The 14382-nt window shown below is 56.2% G+C and overlaps 1 protein-coding gene across 7 annotated transcripts in view, besides 4 other annotated features; it reads left to right on the top strand.

The window, feature by feature from the left end:
- The first annotated feature begins 3384 nt into the window (after positions 1 to 3384).
- The window catches only part of RASA4B (RAS p21 protein activator 4B), a 37802-nt gene continuing 26804 nt past the window's right edge, over positions 3385 to 14382 (top strand). For 5 of the 7 annotated variants that reach the window (XR_007059979.1, NM_001277335.2, NM_001367767.2 and 2 more), the window contains exons 1-5: positions 3385 to 3516; positions 9181 to 9237; positions 10870 to 10983; positions 11502 to 11563; positions 14338 to 14382. The exon at positions 14338 to 14382 is cut by the window's right edge and continues 85 nt beyond it. Coding sequence is in view for 5 of the 7 variants with exons in the window: in NM_001277335.2 (NP_001264264.1) it covers positions 3452 to 3516; positions 9181 to 9237; positions 10870 to 10983; positions 11502 to 11563; positions 14338 to 14382 (343 nt within the window). In the remaining 2 variants the exon portion in view is untranslated. The other 2 variants (XM_047419681.1, XM_047419684.1) reach the window with 2 other exon arrangements.
- Positions 4143 to 4767: an enhancer, noted in NCBI's record as "H3K27ac-H3K4me1 hESC enhancer chr7:102156842-102157466 (GRCh37/hg19 assembly coordinates)". NCBI's record gives its function as "activates a minimal SCP1, AML or CMV promoter by ChIP-STARR-seq in naive H9 embryonic stem cells {active_cell/tissue: H9 hESC(naive)}" and the evidence as "EXISTENCE:reporter gene assay evidence [ECO:0000049][PMID:30033119]".
- Positions 8226 to 8520: an enhancer, noted in NCBI's record as "tiled region #3260; K562 Activating DNase unmatched - State 1:Tss". NCBI's record gives its function as "activates a minimal TATA promoter and a strong SV40 promoter by Sharpr-MPRA in K562 cells {active_cell/tissue: K562}" and the evidence as "EXISTENCE:reporter gene assay evidence [ECO:0000049][PMID:27701403]".
- Positions 8841 to 9340: an enhancer, noted in NCBI's record as "H3K4me1 hESC enhancer chr7:102152269-102152768 (GRCh37/hg19 assembly coordinates)". NCBI's record gives its function as "activates a minimal SCP1, AML or CMV promoter by ChIP-STARR-seq in naive H9 embryonic stem cells {active_cell/tissue: H9 hESC(naive)}" and the evidence as "EXISTENCE:reporter gene assay evidence [ECO:0000049][PMID:30033119]".
- Positions 9341 to 9842: an enhancer, noted in NCBI's record as "H3K4me1 hESC enhancer chr7:102151767-102152268 (GRCh37/hg19 assembly coordinates)". NCBI's record gives its function as "activates a minimal SCP1, AML or CMV promoter by ChIP-STARR-seq in naive H9 embryonic stem cells {active_cell/tissue: H9 hESC(naive)}" and the evidence as "EXISTENCE:reporter gene assay evidence [ECO:0000049][PMID:30033119]".

Below are 14382 nucleotides of genomic sequence, written 5' to 3'. Positions count from 1 at the left end.
CAACATTAAAAAATAGTAAATGTTTACTGAAATGTCTTCTAAATATAACTTTATGTCAGTTTCATCCATTGTTAAATTTAGTATTTCAAAATGCATCACTGCGCATGAAAACAATTCGTAGGTCACGTTTTCTCACTTTGGAAGAATCCTAAGATTCTCAAGAATGCATGATGTTGGTAGAGAAGTCAAGGCCAGGAGCAAATCAAATGAGTTACTTGCCCCCAAACCGCTTTGAAAGTTGTTATAAAATTCTTTTCAATTGTTTTATATTGCCAAAATATATTACAGAGTTGGGGTATGGGTGCATTTTTTTTATTCTGGTAAAAAAACACATAAGGTTTACCATCTTAACTATTTTATTTATTTATTGTTATTATTTTGAGACGGAGTCTCACTGTGTCTCCAGCCTGGAGTGCTGTGGTGCCATCTGGTCTCACTGCAAGCTCCGCCTCCTGGGTTCAAGTGATTCTCCTGCCTCAGCCTCCCGAGTAGTGGGACTACAGGTGTGCACCACCACGCCCAGGTAATCTTTGTATTTTTAGTAGAGACGGGGTTTCACCATGTTGGCCAGGATGGTCTCCAACTACTGACCTCAAGTGATCCTCCCGCCTCGGCCTCCCAAAGTGCTGGGATTACAGGCGTGAGTCACCGCACCCAGCCCATCTTAAGCTTTTTTTTTTTTGACGAGGTCTCTCTCTGTCGCTCAGGCTGGAGTACAGTGGTGCCATCTCAGCTCACCGCAACCTCCACCTCCCAGGTTCAAGCGATTCTCCCTGCCTCAGCCTCCTGAATAGCTAGGACTACAGGCGTGCACCACCACGCCCAGCTAATTTTTATATTTTTAGTAGAGACAGAGTTTCACCATGTTGGCCAGGCTGGTCTCAAACTCCCGACCTGAGGCGATCCACGCACCTCGGCCTCCCAAAGTGCTGGGATTCCAGGCGTGAGCCACCGCCCCTGGCCCATCTTCACTATTTTTAAGTGGACAGCACAGTAGTATTAACTATATGCACATCTCTGGAACTTTTTCACCTTGCAATACTGAAACCCTACACTCAACAAACAACTCGCTTTCCCTGCCCCGCTCCAGCCCCTGAAAACTTCTACTCTCCTTTCTGCTTCTGTGAATTGTACTATTCCAGATACCTCCCATAGGTGGAAGCAACCACTATTTGTCTTTCTTTGTAACTGGCTCATTTCACTTAGCATTATGTCTTCAAGTTTCATCCATCTTTTAGCATGTGTAAGAATTTCCTTCCTTGCTTTTTTTGTTTGTTTGTTTGTTTGTTGAGACTGAGTTTCACTCTTGTCACCCAGGCTAGAGTGCAATGGTGCGAACTGGGCTCACTGCGACCTCTGCCTCCCGGGTTCTCTTGCCTCCCGGGTTCTCAAGCAATTCTCTTGCCTCAGCCTCCAGAGTAGCTGGGATTACAGGTGCCTGCCACCACGCCCGGCTAATTTTTGTATTTTTAGTAGATATGGGGTTTCGCCATGTTGGCCAGGCTGGTCTCGAACTCCTGACCGCAGGTGATCCACCCACCTCGGCCTCCCAAAGTGCTGGGATTACAGGTGTGAGCCACCACGCCTGGCCTCGTTTTTGTTTTTGTTTTTGGAGACAGAGTTTTGCTCTGTCGCCCACGCTGGAGTGCAGTGGTGCGATCATACCTCACTGCAGCCTCCCCTCCTAGGCTCAAGCAATCTTCCTGCCTCGGCTTTCTGAGTAGCTCGAACTACAGACACACACTACCATGCCTGGCTAATATTTTTATTTTTTGTAGCAAAGGGGGGGGGGTCTCATTATGTTGCCCTGGCTGGGCTTGAACTCCTGGCCTCAAGTGATCCTCCGATCTCAAGCCTCCCAAAGTGCTGGGATTATAGGCGTGAGCCGCTGTGCCCAGCCTCAAACACTTTTTCTTTCAACGACATTGACCTATAGTGAATATCAAAAGCATGCACTGAAACTCAAGAGCTGCCTCCTCTCCTGTGCCAGGATGCACTGTAACTTTTGTGAGCCCTAGGCATGTTTGACTTATATGGGTTAAGATATTCAAATACGGCTAGGCACGGTGGCTCACGCCTGTAATCCTAACACTCTGGGAGACCGAAGTGGGCAGCTCACCTGAGGTCAGGTGTTTGAGGCCAGCCTGGCCAACCTGGTGAAACTCCATCTCTACTAAAAATATAGAAATTACCCAGGCGTGGTGGCAGGTCCCTGAAGCTCTGGCTACTCGGGAGGCTGAGGCAGGAGAATGCCTTGAGTCAGGGAGGCAGAGGTTGCAGTGAGCTGAGATTGCGCTACTGCACTCCAGCCTGGGTGATAGAGCGAGACTCCACCCCAAAAAAAAGAAAAAAAAAAAGATATTCAAATGTGTATTTTACAACTGCTTTGGCATAAAGACTGACTGATACCAGTCAGGTCAGATTCATTATTACATATTCATTACTATTATACTCCTGTTTGACTAGGCATGGTGGGCTCACATCTGTGGTCCCAGCCCTTTGGGAGGCCAAGGCAGGAGGATAACTTGAGGCCAGGAGTTCTAGACCAGCCTGGGCAACATAATGAGACCCCCCCATTTCTACTAAAAATAAAAAAAATTAGCCAGTCGTGGTGGTATGCATCTGTAGTCCCAGCTACATGGGAGGCTGAGGTGGTAGGATTGCTTGAACCCAGGAGATTGAGGCTGCAGTGAGCTATGATTGCACCACTGCACTTCAGCCAACAGAGCAAGACCCTGTTTCAAATGCATACATACATACATACATACATACATACATACATACATACACACACACACACACAAACCAACCAATACAAAAAATACATATTTTTTTTCTTCTGATTCTAAAAAACATAAAAACAGCCAGGCACGATGGCTCATGCCTGTATTCCCAGCACTTTGGGAGGCCGAGGTGGGCAGATTACCTGAGGTCAGGAGTTCAAGACCAGCCTGGCCAACATGGTGAAACCCCGTATCTACCGAAAATACAAAAATTAGCTGGGCGTGGTGGCGCGTGTCTGCAATCCCAGCTACTTGGGAGGCTGAGACAGAAGAATTGCTTGAAACCGGGAGGTGGAGGTTGCAGTGTCCCCCACCCGCTCCTCCAGGGGCGCCCCCCTCGAGCCACCGCGCCGGCTGCCCGGCGAGTGTCAGCGCCTCCTCACAGGCCCCGCCCCTCACGCCCCAGACGGCCAATGAGAGCTGCGGCCCCGGCCGGCCCCTCCCCGCCCTGGGGAACCCCGGTCGCGGATTGGCCGGCCCGGGCGCAGTGTCCCCCGCACGTGGGGCGGGGGCGGGGTGAGTGGAGTGGCAGCGAAGCCCCGCCCCCGCCGCCCCGCCCCCGCCCCCGCCTCCTCCCCGGCCCGCCCCCCCTGCGGCGCCCAGTCCAGCGCCCGCCGCCCGCCACCCCGGACCCCGGTGTCTGGCTTCCCCCGAGCCGGCACCCCGCGATGGCCAAGCGCAGCTCGCTGTACATCCGCATCGTGGAGGGGAAGAACCTTCCCGCCAAGGACATGTGAGCGCGGCCGGGGGTGGGAGCCCCAACTTTCCGGGGAGGGGCACTGCCCCCCAGGACGCCTGACCTTTCCGGGGTCCACCCACAAGAGCAGCGGAGAGGGTGCGGGAGTGCGGCCGTGGTGGGGGATCGGCGGGGAAAATGGGGACAGTGACATTTTCTGCGAGCACCAGACGGGGTGACAACCGGGGGGCGGGGAAGTGTCACCGAGGGCTGGGGGCTGGGAACTAGGGAGGGGGCGAGAATTTGTCAGCGATCCGCGGCTCACGAGGGGAAGGGGCTTTGATACGACAGGAGCTGGAGCCTGGTGACATGCCAGGGGAGACGTCTTGGTGATCTGCCCCCGGGGTGGGGTTGGAGGGGGTGGGGTGTCCCCCGCAAAGGAAGGGTCTTCCTCAGTAGTTCCAGAGCCCTTAATGCCCCGGAGTGTGCACCTGAAGCACATGCTGGGGCCCAGGGGCTGTCCCCGGGCTTCCTGCTGTGCACTCGGGTAGGAGGGACTGGCATGAAAAGTGAGAACAGGTCAGGAGGCCAGGACAGGTGCAGGACTGTGGGGGAGGGAAGGAGGGTAGTAACTGTCGCTTGTGCCTTGGGCTTTACACCTGAGCCATCCCGTTAATCCTCTCAACCACCCCGAAAGGCAGTTCTCACCGTTCCATTTTACAGATGAGAAAACTGAGGTTCAGAGAAGTGAAATGCTGGCTCCAAGTGGCAGGCAGAGCAGGGTCTTGAGTCTAGGGCTTCTCACAGGCACTGACATCTGGGGATTCCCCTGGTCCCTGGCTCGATTTGGGGAGGTTTCAGGGGCCCCTTGTTCCACTCTTCTCAGTAGGTCCCAGGGCTGAGCTGCCTGACCCCTGGCCCACCATCTTGGTCTTGCCACCACCTTCCTCATGTACAGGGTTTAGGCAGCTCCCTGCTCCTAGAGCCTCAGTTTCCCCTCTTTAAACTAGGGGTTGAAATCCCTCTAGAGGAAGAGGGGGAAAGCTCAAAGGTCAAGGGGCACTGGCTGCCTGGAGGAGGAGGGTGGGAGGGGGAAAAGTGGAGCCTGGAGGAAACAGAGTCCAAAGTCTGCGGAGCTGCAGTTCCCCACCCCTTGGGCGCCCCGGGCTCCTGGATGCAGAGAAGTGGCTAGCATGGGCGAGGGGGTGGAGCAGGGTGGGGGGCAGGCACTCTGCTCACACATATGTGTGGTGGCCCCTGTGAGCTTCCCAGCAAGCTCAGCGCGCCACCACCGAGAGCAGTGCCAGTTCCAGGCCCCCTGGGTCTGATGAGGCCCAGCTCAGCAGTTACCATGACAATGGGGAAGGGAGGGCGGTGGGCATCCCTAGGTGGGTTTCTGTGCTTGGAGGCTTGGAGGGAGGTGGAGTGGGAGCTGGCAGTGAGGTCTGTGGGCTGGGAAGGCAGAGGAGCTCTGAGAAGGGTCTCAGCCTCCAGGCCCAGCCTTTAAGCATCCCCCACCCCCTGCCACCACTGGCACTAGGAACTAGGTCATCTTGGCCTCTTCTGGCTGGTGGCAGCTGGGAGGAGCAGCCCCTCCGTCTGTCGCCTCCCTCCTCATCCCCACAGCAGCTGGCCCTAGTGCCTGGCTCCAGGCTCTCTCCAGCCCAGGGCAGCCAAGCTCTTGGAGTATGCCCACCTGGGAGCCCAGTGCCTGGTTCCCTGCTCAGTGCTTTGCCTCTGGGCAAAGGGGTTCCATCTACAGTGGAGGGGTGCCTTGGGATCTCGATCCTCACCCTGCCCCCCTGCCTGCCCTACTCACGTCTCCTTTGCAACCCCCCATCTTCCCCTGTGGCTTGCATACACAGCTCTGACCTGTCAGCCGCCTCTTAAACCATCCCATAAACAGTCCCTCACATTTGGGCTACTACCCTTCACATCTCTGCTTTCGCCCATGTGTGGGGACTTCTGCCTTCAAGCACTCCACTTCAGTCCTCCAGAAAACTCCTATTCAATGTTCAGGACTCCTCTCAAACTTCTCCTCTCCAGGGCATTCCCTGGTGCACTTGGGCAGAGTTCCTGGCTCCTGGGCTCGCCCCCCAGCACTCTGGGTGGCAGGAGGAAGCCCCTGGTGTGGCAGTTCCTCCGTCAAGTGGTGCCTGTCCCAGCTGACTGTGAGGGCAGGGACTGTGACTCATTCATCCTGGCACCGGGTCCATAGTAGGGAGAATAAGAGGTGTTGAGGACTTCCCCCACTTAATCCTCTTCTTAGCTTTATAAGATAGACATCCTCGGTTTGCACATTGGGAAACTGAGGCTCAGGAAGTGAAAGCCATTTGCCAAGAGGGTAGGTAGAGAAGTCAGGATTCAGATTGCCTTTGCTGCCGACAGGCTGAGAATTCTAGCCTGCCCGCGGCTGTAAGCTTGCGGCTGGGCTCAGTGAGACTGAGCCTCGGAAATCCTATGCAAAGCATTTGGCTGCAGAGTCGGGCAGGGGTTTGGAGATCATGGGAGGCCCTCACTGAGTACTGGAGTTTCACTGTGCCTCACCAGCACCCCGCCTATCTTCTGAGTAGCATCTCCTCCAGCCAGGGCTTGCATACTTCTGAGGACGGGGAGCTTACCGCCTCTCATAGTGGCTCATCTTGACTGAGACAGTTCCAAGGAGGAAGCTGTCCTCACACAGCTGCCAGCTGCCTTCCTGCCACTTCTACTCATGGGTTTTTATTCCTCTAAAGGGCACAGAGCGCAGCTGCATTCCCCATCACTGCTAGCTTTCAGAGCCTGCCTGTTCCTGCCCTGCCTCTTCCCACTGTCTCTCGTCCCCACGTACCTAGGCATGAGCCAAGTCTCACGATGACCAGTGACCCACTGCCTCCCACACCAAGTGGCCTTGGGGACTGGCCCAAGGCTATTTTGGGGTTTTCCCTGGTCCTCCTCCTTCCACAGCCTAGAAACTGCCAAGGCCCTAAATATAGAGGCCCCGAAAGTAGCCAGACAGGCCAGTGGCAACTGGCTCGGGAAAGGAGAAATGAGAGAGGTGGGCAGCCTAGGGGCCTCAACACTAGCGAAGAAGGAACTGGGCAGGGCTTGGGTCCCAGCAGCCCACTGGGGACCATGGTTGGGCCCAGGTCCTTAAATCTGGCCTCGGCCTGCTCTCAATACCGTCCTCTTGCCCCACCTCTGATCCAGCCACCCGGCTCTTCATAGTCCTTGCACACCAGGACTCGGGTCCTGCTTCCAGGCCTTTGGAAGCAGTAGCAGCCCAGTAGTGGGGGACAGCCCACGGAGGTCCCCTGTTGCCTCAGTCAGTACTGACCTCTCCCTGCCTCCTCTGAGCTCCTTGTATGGCTCCTGGATCCTGCAGCCCAGCCCAGCACCTGGGGTGTTCAGAGGCCTGATTTCTTAGCACCTGGAGTCCCCTGGCTTTGGGTTGATGGGATGCAAGCTGGGGTATTCACAGGGGGCTCCCTGGAGGTGGGGGGGCTCTTTATTTTATTTTATTTATTTCTGAGACAGAGTCTTGCTCTGTTGCCCAGGCTGGAGTGCAGTGGCGCGATCTTGGTTCACTGCAACCTCCTCCTCCGGGGTTCAAGGGATTCTCCTACCTCAGCCTCCCCAGTAGCTGGGATTACAGTTGTACACCACCACTACATTCGGCTAATTTTTGTATTTTTCGTAGAGACGGGGTTTCACCATGTTGGCCAGGCTGGTCTGGAACTCCTGGCCTCACGTGATCTGCCCACCTCGGCCTCCCAAAGTGCTGGGATTACAGGTGTGAGCCACCACACCTGGCCAGGAGGCGGGGGCTCTCAAATGATGGCAGGGGGAGGTTACAGTCAGAGATGCAGGCAGTGCTAACATTTACTGAGCACCTCCAAGACCTTCTCTATCGTCTCAGGACCCAGGGAAGCTCCCTTGTGAGCCGGGGTTACACTTCCCACTTTATAGGTAGGAAAACTGAGTCTTGGCAGACATTTCCTGTCTGTGTCCAGGAGCTTCTGGAGCTGTTGGCCCCAAATGCCTTCCTCTGCCGGAAGAGCCCCTTTTGAGAAGGGAAGCAGAGCTTGGAATTCCCCACCCTCCACCATAGAAACACACTTCCTTTTTATGGACACTCACTGGAGGAACAGCTCTAGAGACAGCCCTCACTTCCCCACTTTTACCCAGTACCAGCCCTAGGCCTGGCTGCAGGCCTCTCCCAGCCCCAGGAGCCCCCCAACACCTGAGACCCTTGGAACTGAGCGCGTGTTTGCCTTCCCCCATCCCTCTTTCCCCAGATAGCTGTTACATTTATTCATTCATTCACTCATCAGTTCATTCATTCGTCTGTTCATTCGGCAAACACTCATGGGCTGCCTGTCTTGTGCCAAGCCCTGTGGGGGCCCTGGGGACACAGGCATGCTCCCCGCCCCCAGGTAGCTCAGAGCAGGTGGGAGGCAGCTGATCACTACCAGGCTGGATGAAGTGGGCAGGCAGTGTGAGTCCAGGGAGGCCTTCCTCCCCGTCCCGTCCTGGGGCCAGGGAGGGCTCTGGCAGGGCTGAAGGCCGACTGGGCAGGAGGGACAGCAGTGTCAGTGTTGGGGAGAGCAGGAGCAAAGGCTCCAGGGAGAGTAAGGGGCTCGACTTTGGTGTGGAGGGTAGGGGTCCCAGGAGCTTGCCTGGGGCTGTTGCTTGGAGCTGTTCTGGGGGGAGGCAGGGATGGGGTAGGAGGGCATAGAAAGGAGGAACATTCTATCCCCTGCGGGAGGAACAGGAGGTTTCCAGTACCCCCTCCCTCTGTCCCTCTCCCTCCCCTCCCTGTCTTTCCCCTCTCCCTCTCCACCCCTCCCTCTCACCCCCTCCCTCAGTCTCCCCCTCCCTCTTTACTCCCTCCCTCTTACTCTCCTCCCTCTCTCCCCCTCCCTCTCACCCCCTCACTCAGTCTCCCCCTCCCTCTTACTCTCCTCCCTCTTACTCTCCTCCCTCTCTCCCCTTCTCTCTCTCCCCCCTCTCTCACCCCCTCAGTCTCCCCCTCTGTCTTACTCTCCTTCCTCTTACTCTCCTCCCTCTCTCCCCCTCCTACTCTCCTCCCTCTCTCCCCCTCCTACTCTCCTCCCTCTCTCCCCCTCCCTCTTACTCTTCTCCCTCTCTCCCCCTCCCTCTCACCCCTTCCCTCTCACCCCCTCACTCAGTCTCCCCCTCCCTCTTAACTCCCTCCCTCTTACTCTCCTCCCTCTCTCTCCCCCTCCCTATCATCCCCCTTCCCTCTTAACCCCCACCTCTCTCCTCCTCCCTCTCAGCCCCCTCCCTCTGTCTCCTCTTCCCTCTCTCTCCCCTCCCTGTCCGTCCCCTTCCCTTTCTGCCCCTCCCTCTGTCCCTCTCCCAGTCTCTCCCCTTCCTCCTTCCCCCTCCTTTCTTCTCCTTTCTCTCTCTACCCATCCCTGTCTCCTCCCCCTCCTTCTCCCTCCCCCACAACTCTCCCTCCATCTACTCCCACCCCTGCCCGCGAAAGGGGAGCCCTGGTGCGGGTTCCTGCCCTTCCCTCACCATCCGCTCCCGGGCTGAGGGCGGGGACCCGTGTTTGGCCGGAGGAGCCTGCGGTCTCCAAACCAGGACGCGGAGACTCAGCCTCCGCTCTCTTCCCCCGCACTCCTCCCGAGGGGCCAAAAGAGAGAGGAGCCTGCCGCGAGTCCCCGCCCCGATCCCGCCCTCCAGCCCCGCCCCTGCCTATTTGTCTTGCAGCACTGGCAGCAGCGACCCCTACTGCATCGTGAAGGTGGACAATGAGCCCATCATCAGGTACCGCCCCCACCCCCAGGACCGAGGGGCGCTCAGCCTCTCATCGGCCCGCGCTCTCCCCGCAAAGGGGTGTGAATTTTGTTGTGAATTTTGTACGGAGATGGGAGGGGGCTTGGAGCACCTGGTCCCCTGCCTGGGATTCCCCACCTCGCCCTGACACCCCAGCTAGGAGACGAGAAAGACCTTCAGGGAACTGGCCTGGCCAAGGGCCTCTCACCGGACTCTGTTCATCTTTGCAATCATCACAACCTCCGGGAGAGACAGATGCTGACGATTTGTAACAACAACTCTCATTTGTGGAGCCAGCCCTTTTCCAGCCCGTTTAGTTCTTGCAATTAACGAGATACGATATCATTAGACCCCATTTACAGACAAGGAAACTGAGGCTCAGGGAGACTAACTACCCTGGCCAAGGTCACATGCCTAGTAAAAGTGGCAGAGCCACAACTGGAGCCCAAGTCTGGCCACCCCAGAGCCTGAGCTCCCTTCCCCTCCCTGGTCCTGGCTCTAACTTGGGTCCTGTCCCCTGAGAGTCCCATAGTAATATCCCTCGAGGCTGGGCAACCCCAGCCTGCACCCTGAAGAGTCACTTCCTCCGGATGTCCCTTCCTCCATGGTCCCCATGATCTCTGGGCAGGGTCTTTGCTGTCCTCTCCCTTCCTTCACCCAGACTCCTGCTTCCAAGTTCATGGCCAGAGCTGCCCTACTGTTCTGCCCACCTGAGTGCCCGTGGCCTACTCGGAGCCCAGTCCTTCCCTACCTGCAAGCAGGCTCCCAGCCTTTCTCGAGGGTCTGCAAACCACAGACAGCAAGAGGGAGAGGGGTGTGATGGCTCTGATGCTCTTGATACAGAAGGGAAACAGATGACCTGTCTGAGAAGTGGTTGGCATGAGGTGGTCCCCTGAACTTTCATCCGGGTCCTTGGGGGCTTCAGCGTCTCCCCACCCGCTAGCCCACTGAGTCCCATGAGTTGAAGGCTCTGATCCAAAGGGGGTTGACCAGAGCTGGGTGAGGATGTGAGGCCAGGCTCACCAGTCGCCCTGAGGCAGCTACCCTGTGACCTGAGGCCAATGCCTGCCAACTGTGATCTCAGTTTCCCCAAATGTAAAACAGCTGGAGAGGCTGGGCACGGTGGCTCACGCCTGTCATCCCAGCACTTTGGAAGTCCGAGGTGGGCAGATCACCTGAGGTCAGGAGTTCGAGAGCAGCCTGGCCAACAGGGTGAAACCCTGTCTCTACGAAAATGACAAAATTAGCTGGGCGTGGTGGCAGGCGTCTGTAATCCCAGCTACTCAGGAAGCTGAGGCAGGGAGAATTGCTTGAACCTGGGAGGCAGAGGTTGCAGTGAGCCGAGATGACGCCACTGCACTCTAGCCTGGGCGACAGAGCGAGACTCCGTCTCAAAAAAATAAAATAAAATAAATAACAGCCAGAGAGAGGCAGCCCTGTGCCCCATCCAGAGCAGAGAGGAATGTCAGGGGGTAGTGATTGGTGGTGAACAGTAGGGTCTGGCACAGGGAAAACACATCAGTGGCAGAGCCAGTTGTTATAGGGGTAGGGGAAGATACAAGGAAGGTCCCAGCCCAGGGCCTGGGAGTGGCCTGGGCACATGCTGAGGGTTCTCTCCTGCAGGACAGCCACAGTGTGGAAGACCCTGTGCCCCTTCTGGGGTGAGGAGTACCAAGTGCACCTGCCGCCCACCTTCCACGCTGTGGCTTTCTATGTCATGGATGAGGATGCCCTCAGGTGAGTGCCCCCCTCTCCAGCTGGGACCCAGACCTGGCCATCTGATTGCTCCCTGGCCCATTTCACCACCAGGACTCCTGGGTCCTTTTTGGCATCCTCTTTGCAGCCTGGAGGGAGGCAGAGCCTGGGGGCCTGGGAGGGCGAAAAGCTTGAGCGTGTGGGTGTGCACATGCGTGGCTCCATGGTGCATGCGCCACATACACACGTGTGTGTGCAGGCATGCAGGCACAAGTGTGCATGGACTACACGTGTGCGTGCAGGTGTGAGCTGTGAGATGGGCACCCAGAGAGTGTGAGCTTGGCATGTGTGGGCATGTGAGAAACCTATCACATCCCCCTAGAGGGTCCAGAACCCACAGCCTACAGAAGGGCCACAGGTCCAGCTCTGTTGGGTTACTCTGGAAATGACAGCGGTGTCCACCACCCTGCTCCCCCCGGGGGGGCCCTGAACTTGGTGGGAGGTCCCAGAGGGCAGATACTGAAGCCCTGCCCAGCTCTGCCTCCGTCTCCCTCCTCTAGCCGGGACGACGTTATCGGAAAGGTCTGCCTTACAAGGGACACCATAGCCTCTCACCCTAAGGGTAAGTTCTCCCTTCCCTCCCACACTGGTCTGCCCAGTCCCTGGCCTCCCTCCCACTCGGAGACCTCCCCTCTAGGCTCCGTCTGGTCTCCTGCTCAGGGAAAGCCATTTCTACTCTCCCCAGAAGCCGGGGCCACGTTCTGTACTCCTGGCCTCTGTTCTGCAGCATGTTCCCAAGCCTGGTTGTTACTGCCTCTTCCCTAGGGTGAAGAGGGGCTGCTATGGGTGGAATCTGAGGCCTCTGCTGGCAGAAGAAGGGGCCTCCTTACACTCTATTGCTGAAGCATAGGGACCCCTTCTCCAAATCAGGCCAGCTCCTTCTGTAACCCATGGGGTCGCCTCCATCTGGGCCCTAGTACTACTGTGTCCTAAGTCTGAAGGGTTGGCCTAGAGCCAGTCCAGGCTGGAGATCCCTTTCAATTATTTCTGGGATGCAGACATTGTTTTGTGTTATTGTTTTTACAATTTTTATATAGTTTTTTTTTAAAAAAAAGGCCGGGCACGGTGGCTCACACCTGTAATCCCAGCACTTTGGGAGGCCGAGACGGGTGGATCACGAGGTCAGGAGATCGAGACCATCCTGGCTAACACGGTGAAACCCCGTCTCTACTAAAAGTACAAAAAAATTAGCTGGGCGTGGTGGCAGGCACCTGTAGTCCTAGCTACTTGGCAGGCTGAAGCAGGAGAATGGCGTGAACCTGGGAGGCAGAGCTTGCAGTAAGCCGAGATCGCGCCACTGCACTCCAGCCTCAGCAGCGGAGCAAGACTCCACCTCAAAAATAAATAAATAAATAAATGAATAAAAAATAAAAATAAAAAATAAAATAGAGGCCGGGTGCAGTGGCTCACACCTATAATCCCAGCACTTTGGGAGGCCGAGGCAGGTGGATCACCTGAGGTCAGGAGTTCAAGACCAGCCTGGCCAACATGGCAAAACTCTGTCTCTACTAAAAATACAAAAAATTAGCTAGACGTCGTGGTGGGCACCTGTAATCCCAGCTACTCAGGAGGCTGAGGCAGGAGAATCGCTTGAATCCAGGAGGCGGAGGTTGCAGTGAGTCAAGATCACGCCATTGCACTCCAACCTGGATGACAGAGCAAGACTCCATCTCCAAAAGAAAAACAAAGATGGAGGCCGGGCATGGTGGCTCACACCTGTAATCCCAGTGGCAATTCACTTGAGATTAGGAGTTCAAGACCAGCCTCGTCAACATGGTGAAACCCTGTCTCTACTAAAAATATAAAAATTACCTGGGCATGGTGGCACTCACCTGTAATCCCAGCTACTGGGGAGGCTGAGACAGGAAAATCTCTTGAACCTGGGAGGCAGAGGTTGCAGTGAGCCAAGATTGCGCCATTGCACTCCAGCCTAGGTGACAGAGCAAGACTCTGTCTCAAAAAAAAAAAAAAAAAAATGGAGATGGGGGTCTCACTCTGTTGCCCAGGCTGGTCTTGAACTCCTGGCTTTGACAGATCCTCCCGCCTTGGCCTCCCCAAGGTGCTAGGATTACAGGTGTGAACCACCATGCTCTGCCCAGACATGATTTTGAGGGTTCAGCCCTGTGCCAGCCTCACTGTGTGTGACCTTGGGCAGCTCCTGCCTTCTCTGGGCTTCTCTGAGGGTTCAAACCAGTTCTTGGATGCTATGGGCTCTGCCATCAGAGCCTTTGTGTCCCGCTTACTGGCTTCCCCCCACACACACCTGCTCCTGTCTGTGACGCTGGGCCAGGGATGGGGGCAGGGCGAAGGCAGGTTCTGCTGACTCATGGGGCTTCTTGGCCCCTGCCAGGCCAAAGGCCTTTCCCACCTGCAGCCTTAGCCAGCGTCTCTGGGGTCTAGTGGCCCCAGTGAGGCTATTCCTCCGGGTGCCTTGTAGCTTCCCCATCCAGGCCTCAGACCCTCCTCCCAGCAGCCCTAGGGGAGGGCCACTCTCTTCCTGTTTTAAGATGGGGAATCTGGCTGGGTACAGCGGCCCACACTCATAATCGCAGCACCTTAGGAGGCTGAGGTGGGAGGATGGCTTGAGGTCAGGAGTTTGAGACCAGCCTGAGCAACATAGCAAGACTCCATCTTTTTTTTTTTTTTTTTTGAGATGGGGTCTTGCTCTATCACCCAGTCTGGAGTGCAATGGCGCAATCTTGTAGCTTCTCCATCTGGGCCTCAGACCCTCCTCCCAGCAGCCCTAGGGGAGGGCCACTCTCTTCCCGTTTTAAGATGGGGAATCTGGCTGGGTACAGCGGCCCACGCTTATAATCCCAGCACCTTGGGAGGCTGAGGTGGGAGGATTGCTTGAGGTCAGGAGTTTGAGACCAGCCTGAGCAACATAGCAAGACTCCATCTTTTTTTTTTTTTTTTTTTTTTTTTTTTGAGATGGGGTCTTGCTCTGTCACCCAGTCTGGAGTGCAATGGCGCGATCTGAGTTCAAGCAATTCTCCTGCCTCAGCCTCCTGAGGAGCTGGGATTACAGGCATGCGCCACCACACCTGGCTCACAGGGTGAGACCCTGTCTCTAAAAACAACAACGACAAAAATGACACAATAGTGAGGGCACAGGCCCCAGGTCACTGACTTAGATTCTAATCCCAGCTCTTCCAACTGCTGTTTCTTCACCTGCAGAGCCTCAGTTTCCCCATCTGTCATTGGGGATACCAGCCCCTGCTTCACGGGTGCCTAGGGGATTCCCAGATTATGGAGGTGCCTCAAGGTGCCTGGTGGGGCTGAGGGTGGAGGGTATGGGGGTTCAGGGCCGGGTCCCTGGCTGAGCTGACCCCACAGGTTTCAGCGGGTGGGCCCACCTGACAGAGGTCGACCCCGACGAGG

Source organism: Homo sapiens, chromosome 7 (genome assembly GCF_000001405.40).
Source record: "Homo sapiens chromosome 7, GRCh38.p14 Primary Assembly".
NCBI classification, from domain to species: domain Eukaryota; kingdom Metazoa; phylum Chordata; class Mammalia; order Primates; family Hominidae; genus Homo; species Homo sapiens.
This window is presented reverse-complemented; position numbering and strand designations above follow the sequence as displayed.